Source organism: Homo sapiens, chromosome 22, assembly GCF_000001405.40.
Source record: "Homo sapiens chromosome 22, GRCh38.p14 Primary Assembly".
Lineage (NCBI taxonomy): Eukaryota > Metazoa > Chordata > Mammalia > Primates > Hominidae > Homo > Homo sapiens.
In genome coordinates, this window is record NC_000022.11 from 15,765,699 (window position 1) to 15,788,337 (window position 22,639).

Genomic DNA, 22,639 nt, shown 5'->3' on the forward strand with positions numbered 1-22,639 from the left:
ATCCTCCCTTCAGTTGGCTTGGGTCAACTTAGGTCATGGGCCACCTGGCTGATAGCAGTTTCCACAGAAATGCTTCAAGATGGTATAATAATCCAAATCTCTTTGCATGGGGCATGGTGTGGCTATCTGAGAAAAACCTGGCTTTTATAGGAAGGAGAAAGAAGAATGCTTCTTGAGGGGAAGAAACCAACAGGAATGTGCCTCAGGGAAATGTCACCAGAGGAGAGTGAGCTGTAATGACTATTTTGGCAGATTATTTCTTGTGGTTCTTGGGTTCCTTGGCCCTGCACAGAGCTACCATTTACTCATTTGACAAATATTTGAGTGGTAGACTCCAGGGTTCAATAGTGATCAAAAATGCACAGAATTTCTTCCCTAGTGGAGCTTAGAATCTAACAGAAAGAGCTGACATTAGTCACAAAATTATGTAATAAGGGAAAGTGCAGCAGACCCAGGTGTGCTGCAAGAGCCTGTGAAGGCGGACTGACCCCAAGACAGAGGCAGGAAAGGATGCCTCCAGGAAGCAGCAATTGAGCCAAAATCAGGGAGAAAACTAGGCAAAGACACAGTATTCAGGAGGAGGTAGAAGCTGGCCCATGAGGACGGTGGTGTGGAGAGGTGAACCAATACCCAAGTCCTTGGATTTATTGTTGAGCTGCTGAATGAACCAGGGCTGGCTCTTGCCCAACCTCTGCACTTCTTGTTTTGCAAGGTTATAATTTTTTTTATTTAAAAGCTAGTATGAGTTGGGATCTGTTGCTTTTCTGAGACCCCGTCCTGTGAGGTAGACAGGGGGCCTCACTGTACTCTGGGGAACTAAAGATGGAGAAGGGTTTTAGAGTGCCTGGAGAAGAGGCCCTTTAACGGATCATTTAAGAAGAGGGTGCTACTGCTAGACTGCCCAGATTCCCTTTCTGTCTTTGTGACCTTGGACTCTCTGTGTCTGTTTTCCAATCTGAAAAACGGAATAATGATAGTATCTGCCTCTGCCTGCAAGACCCTGACCTATCAGACCAACTACCTTTTCACTAGAACTCTCTTCTTGCACTGTGCCCCAACTGGACCACTCATTAAAACTTAAAATGGGCATATTTTCCTTTTCTAGATTTTGCTCAAGACATTTCCCTCATCAAAATTAAATTTGGTCCATCTCCCCCTATTGGAATTAAACCCATTCTCCAGAAATCAGTTCAAATTTTATCAGCAGAAAGCCTCTCTCAATTACCCCCACCTTCTTTTATTCTTTGGGCCATTTCTGCTATCATTTCTGTTTTTCTTTTTTTGCTACATATTGGTGTAGGTACATACGATCTCCACTTCCACTCAAATGTGAGGTTACTGCGGGCAGTCCCTATGGATATAGTCATATCCCAAGAGTCCTGGGCAGAGGGTTTCCCTCTTTCACCCAGGCTGGAGTGCAGTGGTGCAACCAGAGCTTACTGCAGCCTCAACCTCCTGGGGTCAAATGATCGTCTCAGCCTTTCCAGTAGCTGGTACTAAAAGCGGGCACCACCATGCTTGGCTAATTTTCATATTTTTCATAGAGACGGGGTTCCACCATGTGCCCTTGCTTGGTCTGAAAGTTCTGAGCTCAAGCAACCCACCTGCCTTAGCCTCTCAACGTCCTGGAATGACAGCATGAGTTGCCACACCTGGCTGCATGCCGAATACTTTAGAGTTGTTTATGCCTGACACTTCCAGGGCATGCAGAACTATGGTGGCATTAACCGACACATTAACCAACTGCCTCACTTACTTTTCTTTTGACTCAGTTTATACATTTTCTTAATTTAAATTTTAATTTCAACATGTATACATCTTTGAAATAAATAAAATAAGCTCTTTGAATGTTTGACATAACGTAGAAGAAATTGACAAATGGACATCTTTACTTCATTTTCTGTCTCAAAATGTGGTACAAATAGCCTCCCCTAAAGTGATCCCAATTATTACATAGCCATCTTGCTGTGGCTAATGTAGAATGTTTTTGCAGTATCACATGCACGAAGGGCATATCCAAAAAACATTTGAGTGAAGATAATACTAGATTCTAGAAAGTATCTAGACACTTAAGAGCAGGTGGTGATGATGTTAATTAATAATAACAATGTTGAGGGGCTGGCTTCTGCCCTTCCCTAATAAGCATAAAGAGCATATAAACTCAGCAAATTTGCTCTTATTTTCTTCATTATTTGGTTTTTGAATCAGTAAATGCTTTCCACAGGGGTCATCTTGTTAGTCATCTTGTCATTTTGCTGTGTCCCATCTTCGTCCTTGCAATTTTTCCTTTTTCCCATTTTGGCATGTATTGAGAGGAGTGTTATGCTGATGAAATGCCCTGTCCTCAATTGCTATCTGATTAGAACTTCCCTCAATTTTTAAAATGCTTCTTGACATGGTTTGGATTTGTGCACCCCCCACCCCCAATCTCATATGGAATTGTAATTGTCAGTGTTGGAGGAGGGGCTTGCTGGAAGGTGACTGGATCATAGAGGTGGTTTCTAATGGTTTAGCCTCATCCACCTCGTGCTGTCTGATGATAAAGTTCTCCTGAGATCTGCTTGTTTAAAAAGTGTGTAGCACCTCCCCTGACTCTTTTCAGCCATGTGAATATGTGCTTGCCTCCTTTTCACCTTCTGCCATGATTGTAAGTTTCCTGAGGCCTCCCTATAAGCATAAGTCTGTACAGCCCACAGAACTGTGAGCCAATTCAATCCCTTTTCTTTTTCAATTACCCACTCTCATGTATATCTTTATAGCAGTGTGAGAACAGATTAATACACTCCTCCTCAGAAAGCATTCAATTTAGCTGTGTCTAAAGTATGCCAGGTGTTCTAGGGTGTTATCTTAGCCAATAATTCTTCCTCTTCAGCAAGATCTATTTGCCTATGACAGCTTGACCTACATTTCCTACCATACTTGTCAGTAACAAGTAGCCCATAACATCTGAATGGACTTCATTGAAATCACAGAGGTTCTTTAGTTCTCTACTTTATTAGCAGGCATTCGGGAAACACATCAACTTTCTAATTTAATAAGGTGCCTGTTGCTTTGAAAAACTGCTCAAAAGAAGATAGGAGAGGCTTACTTAAAGATATCACTATAGGCATGGCATGCTGGTTCACACCTGTAATCCTAGCACTTTGGGAGGCTGAGGAGAGAGGATCACTTGAGTCCAGAAGGTCAATACCAGCCTAGGTGACATGGCAAAGCCCCATCTCTACAAAAGAAAACAAAATCCAAAAAATATTTAGGCATGGTGGCATGTGTTGCATTCCCAGTTACTCAGGAGACTGAGGTGGGAGAATCACTGAGCCCAGGGAGGTTGAGGCTGCAGTGAGCCATGATCATGCTGCTGCATTCCAATCTGGGGACAGAGCAAGAGCCTGTCTCAAAAAAAAATGTTATCACTGTACTATCTATAACTATTCTTAATTAGAATAACTAGGTTTTTTTCAACAGTGGAAACTCAAAACAGACAAAATTGTTGTACCTCAGGGTGTGTTGTCGTAGTCATATAATTCCTTTGCTTGTAACTGCCCAATAAATGGATGAGGACTCACTTCACCCATAAATAAGAAAGGTGAACAGCACATGGGGCCTGTAGATGCCTTTTGCAGGGCCCTCTTTTTCTCTTCCTAAAGTTGCAATTTGAGTATTTCTCTAGATGGGCACATCATAGAAACTGTCGTCCTAGATCAGAGCCTGGGGAGAGAGATACAGGTGTCATGCTTACATCTGCAGAGTGGGAACAAGCCCAGAAAAATCAAGATGATTAAGCAGAGAGCTTCCATACTGGAGATAAACCAGCTGTGTAAAAAATCATTGCACCAAAAAAGCGTTGCACCATCGAAATAACTGCTTTAACTAAGAAGTAAAGGAACTGATGCCCCAGCAGAGCACAGAGAGCCACAGAGACAGGAGCTGCATTTCAAACAAGGTCATTGCTGTTGTCCCCACCCTGAGTTAAGTATCTCTGCTTCACCCTTCAAGTTCTGCTTGATCATCCTTTTGTTTTGTTTTCTTTTTTCTGCACTTCACTTCTTTGAGAAAATATAAACCAAAACCTTACATAAAACAGGAATTGAGCTTTTGACAATGTTAGCTCTTGAAACAACCGAACAAAAAGGTTTCTATTATTTCTCATCTCTGTGCTACCCAGTACAGTAGCCAATAGCCACAGATGACTATTAAAATTAAAATTAATTCAAATAAAACAAAATTTACAATTTAGTTGGTCAGTTGTACTAGCCACATTTCAGTTACTCAATAGCCACATGTGGCTAGTGGCTACTGAACTGGCCAGCACAAATGTAGAACATTTTCATCATCATAGTTCTCTAGGCCATGGAAAAATTACTGAACTCAATTTCCAGTGTGCACATTTATTTGTGTACCTAGGAGCTTTTTGACCCTGTGTTGAGATGCCTAAACAGCTTCCTGATTGACCTCCTGATATTTCTGCAAATGTGGACTAAGAGGCCAGGATTCCTCAAGGCCCAGGTGACTCAGGTTATTCCAAAATTATATTTGGACTACCAGTCCTCTGCTTGATTTGGGATGCAAAAGGGGACTTCTCTCCCTAATCACTAAAGTAGCTTTTCAATGTCCCCCTCTCATCACGGTAAGAGTCTCATTTCTTGAGACTCATTTCTTTCCATGACTTATGTTATGTTTTGGAGAGAGTGGATTCAGACAGAAGAGCTGGCTCTGTGCTGGTTTTCCAGGGGTCAGCCCTTTTGTCAGCGACGAGTCTGCCTCTCTACATGATGTACATTGTGTCCCACTACTGGTAATAGAATCTCAGCAATTGATTGACTGTTAGGTTATTTTCAAAGCTCAATATTCACAATAATCTAAAAGACATCCACATAACCACGAGGACAGACAGGGCTCTCATAACCTGCAAAGGACAAGGTGCAAATTTCTTCTTTCCATCCCAGCAACAAATCGACAACTCAGCCAGCACTAAAAGTTGGGGTAAAAATTAATTAAAAGAAAAATGTATCAAGGATAGATAAAAGAACAAAAAAGCTATTGCAGCTGTCTTCTCCATGACAGAGGGCTGTGATCTGAATTTTAATGTTTTCATCTACTTTCTACTTTTGTGTTTCTTTTATTAATTTTTTCACTGTCTCTTATTTGTAGATACAAATTTTTAATATTTGAAAGCTATTTTAAATATAATCTTTAAAAGGAGAAACATTCTTTTTTTTTTGCACAAAATACTGAAGGTGAGATCCACTGATTGCAATGCAATGGGACAATATATCTGGAAGCAATTTTATCCAGAAAAATCAATAGCTTTAAAACAATTCACAACCTTGGACCTAATACCTCTACTTCTAGGAAGCTAGCCTATGAAGGTTTCTGCTGAAGGATGTTTATCACAGTATTATTTATAATGTGAAAAAGCCAAAGAGGAGACCTAAAATGTTTCAAAGATGAAAATGGTTTGATAAAATTATTTTTTTTTTGAGACAAGGTCTCACTCTTGCCCAGGCTGGGGTGCAGTGGTGCAATCTCGGCTTACCACAACCTCCACCTTCCAGATTCAAGCATTTCTCCTGCCTCAGCCTCCCAAGTAGCTGGGAATACAGGCACACCCCACCATGCCTGGCTATTTTTTTGTATTTTAGTAGAGATGGGGTTTCACCGTGTTGGCTAGGCTGGTGTCAAACTCCTGAGCTCAGGCAATCCACCTTCCTCAGATTCCCAAAATGCTGGGATTACAGGTGTGAGCCACCGTGCCTGGCGATAAACAACATATTTAAACTCTAAAATGTTATGCAAGCATTCCAGGCATGCTTTGGAAAAACTATTAATCCCACAAAAGATGCTTATGTAATTATATAGACTAACAGACCAAGATTCTCCAGGACACTTACTTTGTTAAGTGTCTGAAGTAAAATGTAATGCTGTATATAAAATGTGACCTGAAGTCAGGTCCCAGTCTTTTCATCTGGAAAATTCTGTTAATTATACTGCCCTTCCCCTTTATAGGTTTTCTGTAGGAGTTAAAATACACTTTTTCAATTGCTTAACATAATGCTCAACACTGGTAGGGGAGCTATAAATGTCAGCTATTGTCCTATGTGCCAAAAAAAAAAACACACAGACGGACACACACACACACAAAGACACACATGGAGGGAGAGTAAGTAAAGATTAGAAAGCAGCACATAGTGTATCGGTAGGCAATGGGACCACTAGTGATTTTCATATTCTTTTTTATTTTCTTCTTTATACTGCTTACATTTTCAGTGTTATACAATGAGCATGTATTACTTCTGTAATCAGAAGAAAGTGGTATAAACCTGACCTTAATATAATAAAACAAAATTACTGGCCAGGCACAGTGTCTCATGCCTGTAATCCTAGCACTTTGGAAGGCTGAGACTGGTAAATCTCTTGAGCTCAAGAATTTGAGACCAGCCTGAGCTCAGTGAGACAGTGAGACCTTGTCTCTGGAAAAAATACAAAAATTAGCCAATGATAGTGGTGTACACCTGTAGTCCTAAGTTACCTGGGAAGCTGAGGTGGGAGGGTGGCTTGAGCCCAGGAAGTGGCTGCAGTGAGCTGTGACTGCACCACTGCACTTCAGCCTGGGTGAAAAAGCCAGACCCAGTCTCATACAAAAATAAAAACAAACAAACAAACAAAAAAGTTATTACTTAAATCTCACATGCTACCTTGGAGCCGTCTCAGTGTTGAGGGAGTCAAGAGACTGGAGAGACCAATGGGTGAGACAGGAGGATTTTATTAAAATGACCACTTGCCCAGTGGATTTGCATCCAAAAGGCTGAGCCCGGAAAAAAGATGGGGCCTGTTTTTTAAGCATGCAGCTTTGAAAAACTTACAGGGCAGGCTTAGCAAGCTTACAGAAGCAGAACAAAGGCAGTTAATCAAACAGTGACAAGTGTATGACTCAAACATGTCTGGTGACCTCTGCTGGGCCACCCAGCAGGCTCTCAGCAGATGGCAACTGTTTTAGGCTTGCACAGGCATGTCTTGTGACCTTCTCAGGGTCACACCGATGGAAAACAGGAACTTAAAAAATCCTTATAAACTTACAGAAATAGTTACAAAAATAGTTATGAGAGCAGAGCAAAGAAATATTGGCCTGGGAAAGAATCTCAAAGGGGGAAGCTGATAAGAACTTGTTTTTCTCATCCCTGTTCCTGGAGTCCATTCCTTCTGGGCTCTTCCTGGCCTTGTATATAAAGTTATCTTAGTCCTAGCAGGGCCTTGGACTGAGTCAGCCTGGAACAGGCCAGAACTTAGGTTTTTCTCTTTTTAATTTCTGCTTTAGTAGGCCAAGGTTCTGATTGTCACTGCTGAGAAAGTAAGGTGTGTTCAGGCTGCCCATGGTTCTGGGCTCCCCCACGTCTCTGAGGAGGGCTGTCCCCTCCATCACAGAGAATATCAGGACACTAGCCTGTTCCTAGTTATACTTACACACTCCTCTCATGTTGTCTGTGGAGTGGATGCTGCAGGGAGGGTGACATCCCAGTTAGTCCTAAGAGCCAGACTGCCTGAAGCTCACTGTAACAAGTCCTGCCTTGAGGAAGAAGGAAGTTTGCCTCTGTGAACCTCCCACCTGGGCCGAAGGGAAGCCACTCTCTCTGCTGCCTCTCCCCAATCTTTTCCTTCTGTGCTCCTAGTGAACCTCTCACCCCCTGCCTACAGGCCTGGAATCTCAAGACCATGATGACCTCTCATCACTCCTGAATCCAGAGCTTTCCCTTTACAAAGGGGAAACTGAGACCTGGAGCAGGGCTGATGTTCAGCCAGCGCACAAGGGAATGGCTGAATTGGTGGTAAAATATTGAAATAGTTCCAGTGTGGATGGAAAGGGGCCACTGCCCTGAGCATCTCTACTGCCCACCTCATCCCTTCCTCCAGGACCCTGGGTCAGCACCAGGAGTGTCAAAGTGGCCAGGATTGGCCGGAGCCCATGCTAATGGCTCTGCCAGCCCTTCTCCCCACCAGAGAGGGCAGGGGGATTCAGGCCCTCTAGAGGTAGCATTGTGACCGTGTCTGCAGTAGTCAATCCTTGTGTGCCACAGTCCCTGACTTTGTTGATAAGGGCATCAGCCTACATCCCTCTGGTACTCAGTGATAAGCATCTAAAATCTTCTTAAAGAAAAAATTTAAAAAGCTTTCAAAATATACGACTTAACATATGAGGCTGCATAAATATCTTTTTAGCAGTTGTCCAACTGGTGCTTCTGGTTCTGCCTCCCCAGAAAGTGGATGACCGGGCCACCCTCCACCACTGCCCTGTAAGACCATGGGACACACAGGCCACCAGTTCTTTTCATGTGGTCATCCCCTGTTAGATGGGAGAAAATACACCTGCCTCATTTTTGTACCTTCTGTGTGAACATTCCACGGCAGAGCTTCACTAAATGTGTGATGAAGAATTGAATGAATGAATGAATATGAGAGAAAATGAATAAATGGTTCAGATCCTGGGCTGGAAGGCTGTGTATGAGGATGGTGGGTAGAGGAGGGTCTGTTTTTCTTGCCTTTAAGTCACTAATTGTCACTTTGGGGCAGGAGCACAGGCTTTGAATGCAGACTGACTGGACTTTAATTCTGGCTTTACTAGTTGTGATTGTGTGACCTTGTGCAAGTTACTTAAACCCTCTGTGCCTGTTTCTTTATCTGTAAAATGGATATAATAAGATGTCAAAGGACTGTGGTAAGAATTAAATGCTTTAAAAAAATCGCAGTTTGTATTAAGTCCTCAATAGATTGGGTTTAGCATCATGAGTGCATGTGTTTCTGGAGCAATGCTCATCTTGGGCTGGATGGTGCCTACACAGAGAAAGACTCTGGCCTCTTCTCATCCACATGTATCTGTCTTATGCCTGGTTCCCATTCCCAGATCCTTGGAAGATCCATATTGCTGAAACGGTGAAGGGTGATGGGCACCTCAGGACAACTAAGCTGCTCCCCAAACATCTTCCCCCTCCCAAACTCTCCTGTGGTCTTTAGCATTTAACAGGAATCTCTGGACACTCCAAGGGTTGATCCTCTCATGGAAGACCAGTGGGGAGGAGGCTGCGGGAAAGGTCAGGCACTGTGCACTTCCCTGACAGCTGCAAATGGTTGTTTCCAAGCCCACTGGTCACTACAAATAAGGCAAGTTATATGACATCATAATGTGATTCTTTGGTGCCTCAGTCCACACTGGCACTTTAATACTCCTAGAGTGGATTGCATGGTGGTCTATCAAAAGATATGTCTACCTGGAACATGTGAATGTGCCTTTATTTGGAAAACAATCTGCAGATGTAATTAAATCCAGCACCTTGAGATGATTAGGATGGGCCCTAAATCCAATGACAAGTATCCTTATAAGAAAAGCGGCAGGTAGGGCACAGTGGCTCACACATATAATCCCACCACTGAGAGAGGTCAAGGTGAGAGGATCATTTGAACTGCAGGCTTTCAAGATCTGCCTGGGCAACATGGTGAGACCCTGTCTCTCCAAAATGTATGTAAAATATAATACAGGCATGATGGCACCCGCCTGTAGTCCCAGCTACCAGCTACTCGGGAGGCTGAGATGAGAGGGTAGCTTGAATCTGGGAGGATGAGGCTTCAGTAAGCTGTGTTCATGACGCTGCTCTCCAGCCTGGGGGGGCCTCTCCAGCCTGGGGGGCCCCTGGCCCCTCCACAACCTGCGCTAGAAGAGCTGGGCCCTGGCTCTGGCACCATGCAGCCTCTGAGGTGAGGCTGAGAGCCAGTTTCTGCCCTCCTGCGGCTGGGGACCAACACCCCTGACTTAGGCGTCGTGGAGGCTTCTGGCCCAAGGGTCCGCGCTGCTGGTGGCGCTGGCAGGGTCAGAATTTGCCACAGCTGCTGCTGCGCGCCTTGTGCAGGTTACCACTGCAGCTGAATCTACAGCAGAGGCAGGCAGGGCTGGTCCCAGACAGCCTGGGGGTCGCTGAGTGGACGGCCCTTTCACCCTAGAGTCAGCTCTTTCTTGTAGGTGCCCAGATCAGGGTGTGCAGGGGCTGGGCACAGGGCAGCCGCCAGGAAATGGCTGAGCTGCCGGTTCCCGCCCTCCTGAAGCTGGGGCCGGACCACCTGAATTGGCCGCTGGGCGGCGCCTGGCCCTGGAGTCTGCCTGGCTGGCGTGAAAGCGTGGTCTGGGGTTGCCATCAAGGCTGCTCCCCCGCCATGTGCAGGTGGCTGCTGCAGCTGAGCCCATGACGGAGGCTGGCAAGGCGTTTCCCAGGCAGCCTCAGGGTCATTGAGTGGACCACTATCCCACCCTAGGGTCCGCTGTTCCTTTGCCTGAGCCCAGAGTTCCGGGTCGCGGGCACTGGGAACTGTGCAGCCAAGGAGACTGGGCCGAGGGCAAAGGTTTCTGCCCTGCTGCAGCTGCGGGGCTGACTGCCTGAATTAGGCGCTGAGGCTGCGTTGTCCCCGGTGTCAGGGCTCTGGTGCAGGCAAAGTGCCGGGTTGCTCTGCTGCTGTCGTGCCCTTGTACAGGTGGCAGCTGCAGCTGAGCTCTCAGTAGAGGTCGGCAGGGTTGGTCCCAGAAAGCCTGAGGATCGCGGTGTGCACCACCCTCCCAGCCTAGGGTGCACTCTTCCTTGGCACGCGCCCAGAGCTCGGGGTTTCGGGCGCTGGGCCCTGTGCAGCTGCCCAGAATAGGCTGTGCGGCTGGTTCCCGCCCTGGCAAGGCATCCAGCCATGGAATCTGCACTGCTGTTGGGGGCAGGCAAGGTCGGGGGATGGGGGTGTGGTTTCCACCATTGCTAACGGGCGCCACCTGGCGATGGTAGCTGCAGCTGAGAGCATGGCAGAGGCTGGCAGGGCTGGTCCCAGACACCCTGAGGGTCGCTGAGTGCACCGCCCTACCACCCTAGAGTCTCCTGTTCCTTAGACTGCTCCCAGGACGTGGTGTGCGAGCGCTAGACACTGAGCAGCCTCCAGGATGGGGCTGAGCGGCCGATTCCCGCCTTGCCGCAGCTACAGTCTGAATTAGGCGCCACCGCATTATCTGGCCGTGGGGTTCGTGCTACTGGTGGCATGGACAGAGATGGGGGCTGCCACAGCTGCTATGGGGCTGAGCAGCCGATTCCCGCCCTCTTGCAGCTATGGGACCGGCCACCTGACTTAGGTGCCTTGGAGGCGTCCGGCCCTGGGGTCTTTGCTGCTTGTGTCTGAGGGCAGGGTCAGGGCTGCCACTGCTACTGCCGTGCACCATGCACAGGCGCCAGCTGCAGCTGAGCCCAAGGCAGATGCTGGCAGGGCTGGCCTGAGGCTGCCCAAGGGTGGGTGAGTGCACCGCCTTTCCACCCTAGGGTCCGTTATTCCTAGACCAGCGCCCAGATTGCGGGGTCGTGGGCGTTGGACACTGTGCAGCCATGAGGATCTGGTTGGGTGCAGATTCCCGCCCTCCTGCGGCTGAGAGGCCAACCTCCTAACACGCGCTGCAGTGACTTCTGGCTCTACAGTCTGCGCTCCTGCTGGAGCTGGCAGAGACCAGAGCTGCCACCGCTGCTGCTTCCAGGAGTGTGCAGGTGGCAGCTGCCGCTGAGCCCGCGGCGGAGGATGGCAGGGCTTGTTCCAGAAGGCTTGAGGGTCCCCGAGTGCACCGCCCTCCCACCGTAAGGTCCAGTCTTCCTCGTCCGCGCCCAGAGAGTGGGATTACAGGCGCTGAGCACAGTGCAAGCGCTGGGATGGGGCTGAGCTGCAGGTTTCCTCCCTCTGGCTGCTGGGGGGCCGACCGTCTGAGTTAGGGGACGCGGCGGCTTTTGGTCATGGGGTCTGCACTGCCGGTGGCTTGCACAGGGTCGGGGGCTGCCACAGCTGCTATAGTTCACCGTGTGCACGTGGCAGCCGTCTCTGAGTCCACCGCTGAGGCTGCAGGGCTGGCCCGGTCCCAGACGGCCTGAGGGTCATTTGCCCGCGCCCAGAGCACCGGGTGGCGGGAGCTGGGCACTGTGCAGCCTCCAGGAATCCGCTGAAGGGCGGGTTGCAGCTCTCCTGCAGCTGTGGGCCGACTGCCTGACTTTGGCCACTAGGTGGCCTCTGGCTCTAGGGTTTCGGGGCCGCTGGTGTCGGCGGGCAGAGTCCGGGTTTGCCACCGCTGCCCACAGGCTCACCATGGCCTGACTAAATGCTCGCACTGCTCATACATCCACTTTTAAAAATTGGGTTGAACATGAGAACATAATCATTCATATTTTATCCATTTGCATGTATTCAATACCATCCTTTCGCTGTTCTTGTCTCTGCAGCCTTTTTCTTTAAAGAATGAATGTTTCCATGTTTTATATCCACAGAATTTCTGGTTTTTCCTGTTGGAGCCCAAGGAGCAAGGGCAGAATGAAGAACATGATGTTTCCTACCGACAGTTACTCATGACGTCTCCATCCAGGACTGAGGGGGGCATCCTTCTCCATCTAGGACTGGGGGCATCCTTCTCCATCCAGTATTGGGGGTCATCCTCCTCCATCCAGGACCTGAGGGGTGTCCTTTTCTGCGCTTCCTTGGATGGCAGTCTTTCCCTTCATGTTTATAGTGACTTACCATTAAATCACTGTGCCGTTTTTTCCTAAAATATATGGGGCGTGTTTTTTGTTCTCACTTCTGTTAGTCCTTTGGTCCCTAGCTCCAGTTTTTTTGTAATTTCTTTTGCAACCTAATATGAGTCCCATTTAGTAAGTATTACATATACTAGGAAATGATGTATATTCAGCATTTGTTGTGATTTTAAAATCTTTTATAAACACGTAACATTTTTGTCTATTTCCCATTTAAATTCAGAAGTATGAGTTCCAGCGTCCCTCTCTAGACCTGCTCTTCCTGTTAGTTTCTTTGTATGTCCTGGAGGCGAGGCCAGCGTTGGACTTGACGTTGCTTCACCTACTCGGTTCTATGGTCCCTCCATGTGCAGTGTCTATCCTGTTGTTCATTATTTCTTCCTTAAATTTTATTTGAACTAAAATTAATTTTGTGGTAGCAGCTTGCTTTCTGTGAATATTTACTTAAAATTTTTATTCCCATTGTTTTTCTTTCTTTAATTTGCAAGTGCTGCTTTGTTACTGATATTTTGTATTTTAATATATGAGGTTAATCCTTCTATGTTTGGTAGGAAAAAGTGATATATTTGAACTTATTTCTAGCATTTGATTTTGGATTTTGTATCCCAAAGCTTTATCCTCAATTCTCTTTTCCTTTCTTCAGATTTCTTTTCTTTTCTTTTTTTGGGGGGGTGGGGGATGGAGTTTTGCTCTTATTGCCTAGGCTGGAGTGCAATGGGGTGATCTCGGCTCACCACAACCTCTGCCTCTCAGGTTCACGCGATTCTTCTGCCATAGCCTCCGAGTAGCTGGGATTACAAGCATGTGCCGCCACACCTGGCTAATTTTGTATTTTTGGTACAGACAGAATTTCTCGAACTCCTGACCTCAGGTGATCCACCCACCTTGGTCTCCCAAAGTGCTGGGATTACAGGCATAAGCCACCGCGCCCGGACTTCCAGATTTATTTTCAATCAGCATTTCATTTTCCACTTCCTTCCTATGCTGGCTTTTAGGTTTTCCAGGCTATTTACCTTTAGTGTCAAAAATTATTTTGGGAACTTTTGAGTTGTCAACCAATATTGTAAGCATATTGGATATTGCTGTTTTTCTCCCAGTGCTCTGGTTATAATCTCTCCTATTAATACCTTGTAGCCTTATTGTCGTAGTTATTTTTTTCTATTAATTTCTGAGATATAAGAATTAGAATTGTCAAATTGTGGATTTATGCATTTATCCTTTTAATTCAATAACTTTTGCTTCGTGTATTTTGTTATTTTTCTTAGGTGCATACATGCTTATGCTTATTAGGTTTTCTAAGCAAATGGACTTATTGCATAAAACATCCTTCTTTATCCCTGTTGATGCTTGTCTTTCTTGTAGTCTGTCTTATCTGCCATTAATACACTGGCTGCAGTTTTTGATAACAAAGATTTGCATGGTGTATATTTGTCCATCTTTTCAGTTTGAATCTGTTTGTATCTTTACCTCATAAGTGTATATCGTTTTAAAAGCTGATATTGAGGTTTCCTTTTTACCTACTTTGACAGTCTCTGTTCTGCCTTCCTGGTCTTCTTCTGGATTATTGTAGTTTTCATTTGTTTGTTTGTTTGTTTTATGGGGTTTTCTTTTTTTTTTAGTATGGATTTTGTATATTGTATTTTTCTTAACTATGACTCTTTGTTTCATTTATTTATTTTTAGTGAGTTCTTTAGAAATTAAAATAAAAATACTTAAAGTATATTAAATATCATAACACTGTATATAAAATATAAAAACCTTACCTTACCCTCCTCCCTTCTCTCATCTTTTGTGCCATGTTGTCATAGATTTTTCTTCTGCACATGTTGTAATTCCTGGAGGATGTCATTAAAACAGCAGTTTCCCCTCCAGATGTTTACTATTTTTGGCACACTTTCATCTTTTCTGAGAACTAGAATTTCCAATTGTTATCATTTTTCTTCAAGCTGAACAGCTTTCTTTTGCATTTATTGTGGTTTGGGTGTGATGGCAACACATTCTCTCAGACTTTCTTTAATTGAAAATGTACTTTTCTCAACTTCAGTTCTGAATGCTGCTTCAGCAGGTTCAGAATTCTAGGGACACCTTCGACTTTGAACAGCATGAAGTCTCTGCTCAGCAGTGCTCTAGTCACCATCTAACATATTATTATATCCAGTTGTGTCAAATCTGTCATCGGCCATAGAACCCTTTAACAGGTGCTTCTTGTTGCTTCAGTTCTAAGTATTTCATAGTCTTCAGAGATATGGAGAAGTAGCAGTGCTAGTAACACTACCAGTAAAACCAGGATAAGCCCTAAAATAATTAAGCCATCGCATGCACACACATGAACGTTTGACTTCAGCTAAAATGCTTTCAAGTGTACTATTTTATCTTTACACAAGGTTATAATACAAATTAAAATTTTAAAAATATTTCCACTTTATATATGTGAAAACTGCAGCTCAAAGAATTTAAAAGACATGATTGAAATCCCATAACTAGGTAAAGATGGTCAAGTCTGGAGCCCACATGTCTCGGTCCCCCCACACCCTGTTACGGAGAGTGCGAGGCTTCACCAGGAAGCTCTTTTGGCTCAAGGATTAGCTCTGGGGAAGTTCAGCAGGCAGGCCTGCTTTGCATCCTTTTACCAGCAGAAATCCTACATTTGTTTCAAGTTTCTAGTTCTTTTTTTTTGTTTTGTTTCTTACCAGCATGGCTCTGGGAGTTATTTACACAATTTAATTTTAAAAGAGACAGTCCCCATCACTAAGGTTCCTTGGAAACTTATCATGCAAAAAAAATAATAATAATAAATGCTGGTAGATGGGAAACTTCTGCAAAATTGTTTTTTATATATATAATTGTAACTAAATAAATATGTGTATTATAGTAATAATTTATTACTGTAATTTTCTTGCCAGATTTGAAGGCAATTTTTTAAAGCTCTCCACATGTGGTTTACTGTGGACCAAACACTGGCAGCTTCAGGCTTACAATCTGCTGACAAACCCTTCTTAGTTCCTTCAATTGAAGAATGTGAGCAAGCACTGCTCATGTGCCTGGCAAGCACGCAAACCACTCAGGAGAAGGACAGTGGCCACTCAGGTCATCAGGTGAACTTGTGACGGGGCCATCAAGAGGCTGCACGTGAGCTCCAGAAAATGAAATTCCCACTATCAACCTATTTTCCATTTCCACCCAATGCCCCGCCCCTGCTCCAAATCAAGGTCTCCGCCTCTTAGAAATGCTTGATTTTCAGTATTGCTAAACAGGGATTGAAGAAAACAAACTGAACAAAGAAACAAATAAAGCCTTTAACACAGTGAGCAAAGACACAGCACCTACGCCTTCCCCGGGCCCCGCAACAGCTCCAGAGCTGCACAGCTGCTCCCAGAGCCTGAGCATGGACCTGAGCTCTGGCTCATGGATCTCACCAATGCATTTCTTCCCTCTGTGTCAAAAAAGCATCCAGAAATTGGATTCATTTACTTGGGACATAAAATAATGTATACCTACAGTTTTGTCCCAGAACTGTGTAAACCAGCATGCTGTCTGCCATAATACAGTCCTCCCCCTGCATCAGGAGCACAGATGGGGGAAACCGGCAGGGCTGGAGGCCTGGGAGTCACAGGTGCTTGGAGGGGAGAGAAAAGCACCACAGAGAGCCAGGCCCTGCCTACAAATCCCATTTTTAGGGGTCTAGTGGTCTGTGCAGGCTGGGAGATGATCTCTAAAGGAAAGGCAAGAAATATTGCCCCACATCTCCCACCACCAAACAGAAAGTGCAGGTGGTCAGCCCCAGGGCTCACCTGCCCTTTGCCAGGGTCATGAGCTAGGCCCAGGCTGCGCGCTCCACAAAACCATCAAGGGGACGACTGCCTGCCAGGCTGGGACAACTGCACCAGGCCCTGACATCCTGGGAAGAACAGGGTTGCATTTAACAGAAACAACTAAACCTGCAGGGATGAGCTTGCCTTTCCCCGGGGCCACGGGACGGTTTATAGAAAGTTCTGCCCATCAGGACGAGACCTCACATGACACCATCAGAGGAACTGATACCATGCCACAGAGGGAGGAAGACGGCACATGCCATAGGTCCGCTGGTCACAGCACACACACGCTCCTGGGAACTTCAGAGCCAGCAGTGTGGCTCAGGTGCCAGGTCAGGATGTGGGAGGACACAGTGTCTGGGTGAATCTGTCACCTTTGCTAGCTGCCTGGTCCCACCAGGTAGAAGATGTGGCAATGGGAGCACAGCAGTAGGAAGCCCAGTGTCCCCCAACCTTCCACCTCACACCCAGGACCTCTGAGGTGCATCTATGTCCTGCACATCTAGGCTCTGAAAAGCAGGAGGTCCTGGTTTCCACAGCTGTGGGGCTTCTAGACAGGACAGAGCCAGGTTCTCTAAAAAAAACAAGCTCTGGGTGCTGCTTTGTTCTCAGGCTGCTCCTCCATGGGACCTGCGGGCAGAAAGATGTGTACCACCTGGACCATGGTGTCAGCAGGAGCAGGGCTGTGCTGCCTGGGGAAGAAGGGGCTCTACGCAAGCGCCTCTCAGTACACAGCATTTGATGGTACCTGGACAAGTGCGGGAGCCCTAGACCAAGGACTCAGTGGTGAGCAAGACTCAGGACCCCTTAGGGGCGAGGGCCTGGGTTACACCACCAGGGGGTCACCTGGACCCTCAGCAGAAGGTGAAGGGGTGATCATTACCTTTGCGACCCTGAAATGGGTGGCAGCCACAGGACACAGGGTTCATTGAACCCACCTTGTGTAACTATTGCCCAGGAAAAGGCCCAGAATTTAATAAAGACAAGGCCCCTGGCAGTGCAGTGTTGGATGGGGTGCACCCCCTGGGGAACCCCTGACCCTCCCCCAGGGCCTTGGCTCTGAGCTTTGATTATAGACACACGTATGCCATGGCCCCTTCAGACTGCTCCCTTCACCTTTGAAAAACCAGACAGGATGCTTCTGTTCCTGGAAACATGAATGCCCTTCATGTGTTTTTTTCTTTGACTAGAAACTCAACTTCAACCAAAATATGACTCCCACACAATAATAATGGGAGTCTTTAACATCCCACTGTGAACATTAGGCAGATCAATGAGTCAGAAAGTTAACAAGGATATCCAGGAATTGAACTCAGCTCTGCACCAAGCAGACCTAATAGACATCTACAGAACTCTCCACCAAAATCAACAGAATATACATTTTTTTCAGCACCACACCACACCTATTCCAAAACTGACCACATAGTTGGAAGTAAAGCACTCCTCAGCAAATGGAAAAGAACAGAAATTATAACAAACTGTCTCTCAGACCACAGTGCAATCAAATTAGAACTCAGGATTAAGAAACTCACTCAAAACCGCTCAACTACATGGAAACCGAACAACCTGCTCCTCAATGACTACTGGGTACATAACGAAACGAAGACAGAAATAAAGATGTTCTTTGAAACCAATGAGAACAAAGACACAACATACCAGAATCTCTGGGACACATTTAAAGCAGTGTGTAGAGGGAAATTTATAGCACTAGATGCCCACAAGAGAAAGCAGGAAAGATCTAAAATTGACACCATAACATCACAATTAAAAGAACTAGAGAAGCAAGAGCAAACACATTGAAAAGCTAGCAGAAGGCAAGAAATAAGTAAGATCAGAGCAGAACTGAAGGAAATAGAGACACAAAAAACCCTTCAAAAAAATCAATGAATCCAGGAGCTGGTTTTTTGAAAAGGTCAACAATATTGATAGACCGCTAGCAAGACTAATAAAGAAGAAAAGAGAGAAGAATCAAATAGATGCAATAAAAATAGATAAAGGGGATATCACCACCGATCCCACAGAAATACCAGCTATCATCAGAGAATACTATAAGCACCTCTACGCAAATAAACTAGAAAATCTGGAAGAAATGGATAAATTCCTTGACACATACACCCTCCCAAGACTAAACCAGGAAGAAGCTGAATCTCTGAAGAGACCGATAACAGGCTCTGAAATTGAGGCAATAATTAATAGCCTCTCCCTGGGAATGGGCGGCCTGGGTCCAGTCCACAGGGCCCCTCGCGGGCCCTGACGCAGGATGGAGTTGAGGTGGGGGCAGCGCTGGACCCCAGGGCCCCTGCCTGCCTCCTGGGGAGCCCGGTGACCCAGGCAGCCCTGGTGAGGCTGTGGGTGTCTGGGCCATAGCGAGGCCCCCGGGCTCCCACAGGACAGATGCGGACAGTGAGGCCGGGGAGGCCCTGCTGCCCTCCGGACTGTCCCTCCAGCCCCCAGCTTTCTGTGGTTCTCTGGACCCCCTCTGCAGAGGGGCAGGGGAGCACACCCTGGATCCTGAGACGCCAAGCTTGAGGAACCCCAGAGCTCTAGCGAGGCTGCTTCCTTTGCGGATGGTGAAACTGAGGTCCAGAGGAGGGCAGGGGCAGGTCCCGGGTGCTCCCTAGGCAAAGGGAGCCGATCTCGGGGAGGGGGTCACAGGGAGCGTCCCTGCGACTTCTAGGGCCCGAAAGCTGGGGAGGATGAGAGACCAGGGGTCTTTCGTCGCCCCCTGGGGCTGGGCAGAGGCTCAGCCTGTGTTGCCACCCAAAGCTGCTTCTGGCAAGTCCGAGCCGCGTCCCTTTAAGAGGGGGTGGAGCTTCAACCTGGCACGAGGGATGCTGCCAGCGTGCGTGTCCCTACGGAAGCTGAGACTGCACTTCCTGCGAGGCCCCTGCAGCAGCAGCGGCGTGGTCAGAGCGAGCTTCGGAGAAGCAGTGGTGGGTTCCATGTGATGGTGGAGTAGGAGGCAGGTCTCCGCGGTAAGTGGCGGGGGCGTGGACCCCACCGGGAACCCTCCCGGCTCCTTCCCTGCCTCTCCCTGTTTTCGTGCTTTCACTTCTTCGTGGGCATCTGGGCCCGAGTCCTCCGCGTGGGGGCGGTTGTGGGGTCCTGGCTACTGCAGCGTCCGCACCCCGGCCGGGAAGGCTATGCCAATGTCCGACCCGCGTCCAGCGTATAGGAGCGCCCTGGCCCAGAGCTGGCGGTGAAACGCCGGACCTGGGTCCCTCCGAGCCTCAGGGGCCTCTGAGCTGGAGTCTAGGATTATTTTTGATGCCTCAGCACCTTTAAAAAGAGACCTCGCTAGAGCAGGGGACATCTGTAGTTTCAGTTCTTTGAGGAGTCTCCAGCTATTTAGCTGTTTTCCATGGTGTGTATCCTAATTTTCATTTCCACCTACAGTGTATGAGTTTCCCTTTCTCCAAAACCACACCCGCATTCCTATTATTTTTGGTTTGGGGTTTGTTTTGTTTTTGTTTTGAGACGGAGTCTTGCTCTGTCTTCCAGGCTGGAGTGCAGTGGCGCCATCTCGGCAGACTGCAGCCTCTGCCTGGTTTTAAACAAGTCTCCTGTCTCGGCCTCCGGAGTAGCTGGGACTACAGGGGCCGCCACCATGCCCAGCTAATTTTTGTATTTTTAGTAGAGATGGGGTTTCACGATATTGGTCAGGCTGGTCTCAAACTCCTGACCTCAGGTGATCCACCTGCCTCGGCCTCGCAAAGTGCAGAGATTACAGGCATGAGACACCATTCCCAGCCCCTCTTATTTTTTTTATAAAAAATCTAGGAATATTCAATAAGTGTGAGATTATCTGTGTGTGGTTTTGAATTACAGTTTTCTAATGAATAGTTTATTTTGAGGACCTTATCTCTTATTTGTTGTTCGATTTTATGGCTGTGCAGAATTGTCCGTTCAGGTTCTTTGCAAAATATTAGATTGGATGCTTTTGCTACTTTGTAGTGTTTTTTGTGTACATGTTAGATGACAACTCCTCGTGAATTACATGATTGCCTGAAATTTTTGCCTAATCTATAGGATGCTTTTTAATTTGGAAAGTAGTTTTCTTTGATGTGCAGAAACTTTTCATGTTGACATAGTCCCATATATTTATTTTTGCGTTTCATGCATGTAATTTTTGTCACCCATATAAGAAAATATATATCAGTGACAAAGCATTTAATTGTTAATGAGGTTTTTCTTCTAGGGTGTTTGTTTATTTTCCTCTTTGCAGAGGTGAGCAGAGATTCAAGTGACCCAAAATATATGCTCATCCTGTGTTTTAGTTAAAAACATTTTGTGGTTTATGGTCTTTTGTTTTGCCTTCAATTTGGGGGAGGGGGTGTTCATTTTCATACATCGTGTAAAATAAGGTCCTATTTCTCACTTCTGCATCTGAATATCATTTTTCTCAAAGGTACTCATTCTCTGCCTTCCACATTGCAGTGTTCTTTATCAAAGTCAGTTGACTGTGTCCATATTTGTGTTGATCATGTTTTTGTTCTCCCTGTTTTTGTCCATAGTTTATGCAAGTATCATATATCAGCTGTATAACTACAACTTGGCAGTGTAATTTGATATTGAGGATTGTGGGTCTTCACTTTGTATTTCTGAGGATTCCTTTAGATATTCATTGCTTTTGTGGTTCCCTGTGATTTTTAGCAATACCTATTTATTTCTATTAACTTTTTTTCACAACATAAAGGTCCATAATTAGGGGTACATTTTCATACATATAGGTTGGGTAATGATCAAATCAGGGTACTTAGGATCTCTATTTGCTCGTCCAGGCATTTTTTTTTTTTTTTTTTTGTGGGGAGAACATTCAAAATTCTCCCTTCTTGCTCTAGAAAAATATGATATTGTTTACTCCAGTCACCAGGCTGAGGAGGAGAACTTCAGATTTATTCCTTTAATGTTAAGATAACTTTGTTTCCATAATCAATCCTTCCCCATTCCCCCTCTATCTCCCAAACTCTGGTAACCAATATTGTGCTTTCTACTTCATTAAGATAAACATCTTAAGATTTCACGAGTGGTATCATGCAGTGTTTGTCTTCTAGGCCTAGCTCATTACATTTAACATAATGTGTTCCAGGTTCATCTGTGTTGCTCTAAATGACACTGCTTCATTATTTTGATGGCTGGAGAATATTTCCTAGTGTATGTATATGAGAGTTTCTTGATCTCTTTATCTGTGGATGAACAGGTAGGTTGAATTTATACCCAGTAATGGGACTGCTAGATGATATGGTATTTCTTTTTTTCCTATTCTTTGCAAGACCTCCAACTGTTTTTTATAGTGTTAATACTAATTTATGTTTCCACAAACAGTTCCCCTTTCTGGAAATTCATACCAGGAATTGTCTTTTTAAATATTTTGATCTTTTTGTAATGTTCATTCTATTGGAGTGAGATAAGATCTGAGTGTGGTTTTGATCTGCATTTTTCTCATGAGTAGTAATGTTAACCACGTTTTTGTAGACATTGGGTCAGTTTCCTGTCTTCTTTAGAAAAATATCTAATCCGGTTATTTGCCCAGTTTTTGTCTGGCAATTGTTCTGTTGTTTTGTTTTGTTTTGTTTTTTTTTTTTTTTGCCAGCTGGTAGTATGACTCGCTTGTACCTTTTCAAAAATAATCCCTTATCCCAAACTTGTAATTTTTAGTGTGCCTTTTTATTTTCTTTATTGTTTCCTTTGTTGGGCACAAACGCTTCAGCTTGACGTGGTCCCACATGTGCATAATTTCTTGGTGGCTGTGCTGTTGGTTACTAATCAAGAAAAAACAAAATCACAAATCACTACCAAAGCAGTTCATTGTCAATAATTTTTTCCCTTGTATTTTTGTTTACTTTTTGCGAACCCTGAGCATACATCCAAGTTGCCCTAAATATACGCACACCTGAGGTTGTCTTTATAGGAGCTTTATGGTTGCAAGTTTTGTGTATAATCTTTAATCATTTTGAGTTGATTATTGTGTATCTAGTACCATAAGAGTCCTGTATTATTCTTTTGCATATGGATATCTAGTTTTGGAAATCTTCCCCGTTGTGTCATTTTGGTGGTGTTTTGAAAAATGTGTTCATTCCATATAAATTTTTGTTTATTATTGAGCACATTCATTTTGCTCACTGGTCTGTGTTTCTCTGTGTACGCCAGTAACATATGGGTTTGTTAACTACAGATTTTCATTTAATTAGAACTCAGGGAATGTGACACATCCCATATGGTTTGTATTTCTCAGAATAACTTTGGAAATTCAGG

At 45.4% G+C, this 22,639-nt stretch overlaps 1 long non-coding RNA gene and 1 pseudogene across 2 annotated transcripts in view; both read left to right on the forward strand.

Annotated features, from left to right (window-relative positions):
* Window positions 1-12,589, forward strand: part of PSLNR (prostate enriched lncRNA) — a 37,395-nt gene extending 24,806 nt beyond the window's left edge. Inside the window, exon 4 of the long non-coding RNA NR_132385.2 lies at window positions 12,312-12,589. This is a non-coding gene — a long non-coding RNA (prostate enriched lncRNA). The remainder of the gene's footprint in view (window positions 1-12,311) is intronic.
* A 6,666-nt stretch (window positions 12,590-19,255) lies between these two features.
* Window positions 19,256-22,639, forward strand: part of DUXAP8 (double homeobox A pseudogene 8) — a 42,481-nt pseudogene continuing 39,097 nt past the window's right edge. The window contains exons 1-2 of the transcript NR_122113.1: window positions 19,256-19,359; window positions 21,474-21,584. The product of NR_122113.1 is annotated as a double homeobox A pseudogene 8 (transcript). The remainder of the gene's footprint in view (window positions 19,360-21,473; window positions 21,585-22,639) is intronic.